Here is a 1490-nt window from a genome sequence, read left to right on the forward strand (position 1 = left end):
AAAGTCTGCTCTTGTTTGTAGTAAGGCAAAACTCACACACATTCAAAGATTTCCTAAGCCATTTCAGTGTCATTTAATGTGCAATGAGCCATAAATTCTATTCAAAGGAGAGACTAGACTTGGAAATAATAATGTACAATGTTAAAAGTTTATTTGTTATTCTACTTTTGTTAAATCATAACGTCTTCTTCTTTACATATTAATTTATTGTTCACAAAGGTAAATGTTTTATACCTTGGTGGGTTCACAATGTAATTGTTGCATTGTTTTTTGATTCTCCACCATTGTTATTTGTTTCTACTCTAGCTTTTATTTCTCAATTTATCTTTGCACCTTCTTCCCCTCAAAGGAAACCCAAGGAATTTTCACTAGCCTATCCTCCACTTTTTCCTCTTCAATATCACATTTTTAATAGCTGTAAGATTTATTTTTGATAGCTGTGTGATTTATTGTATGGGTCTTATTTTAAAGGAATTATTCTACCCTTTATAAAATGTAAATGTTTGTATTTTTTTCTTTTAGACCCCATCATATCATGAAAAAAAATCTAGACATTGGATATAGAAAACCTAGGTTCAAGCATTAACTCCCTACTTAATTGATATATGACTTACCGGTTTAACATTTCCAAACCACAGTTTCTCAAATTAAAATGGAGATAATAATTATATCTGTATTATATGTGTTGTAAGGATCAAATAAAATAGTTTGTGGCATAGACTTTTTTAATAGTAATAAGTTTTGTAAGATTGCTATAACAAAGTACCACAAACTGGGTGGTTTAAACAGCAGAAATCTATTGTCTCACAGTTCTGGAAGCTAGAAGTCCAAGATTAAGGTGTTGACAGGATTAGTTCCATGTGAAATTTGTGAGGAAGAATCTGTTCCATGCCTCTCTCTTATCTTCTGCTTGTTTGCTGGCAGTCTTTGGTATTCCTTGGCTTGTAGAAACATCACTCCTATCTCTGTCCCAATCTTCACATGGAGTTTTCCCTGTGTTTGTGTCTATCACCACATTTCTCCTTTTTATAATGACATCAGTCATATTAGACAAGGCTCACCTTACTCCATTATGACCTCATCTTAACTAATTGTATTAATACATCTGTAAAGACCCTGTTTCCATATAAGGTCACATTCTGAGGTACTGTGGCTTGGACTTCAACATACGAATTTATAGGGAACAAAATTCGACCCATAACAGGACCCACACTTCTTGTAAAGAGATTGCCAGCAATCTCTTAGATTGCTTAGAAAGTAGAGATGTATCTTTGCCTGTGATGCCTTTGTTCCTCCTCAGATTCAGCATCTGAAACCCAAAGTATGTTCTTCTTCATGATAAAGTAGGATCAAAGCCTTAAATTCATTGAAGACATTATTTATCTTCAATATTTGGCCTTCTTCATTATTGCAGATAATGAAGAATCAACTGCTTTCTACTTTCAACAAATTATTACACCTGGAAGCCTCGTGTTGTTCAGTTCAGGTGT

This window comes from Homo sapiens, chromosome 1, assembly GCF_000001405.40.
Source record: "Homo sapiens chromosome 1, GRCh38.p14 Primary Assembly".
NCBI classification, from domain to species: Eukaryota; Metazoa; Chordata; class Mammalia; order Primates; family Hominidae; genus Homo; species Homo sapiens.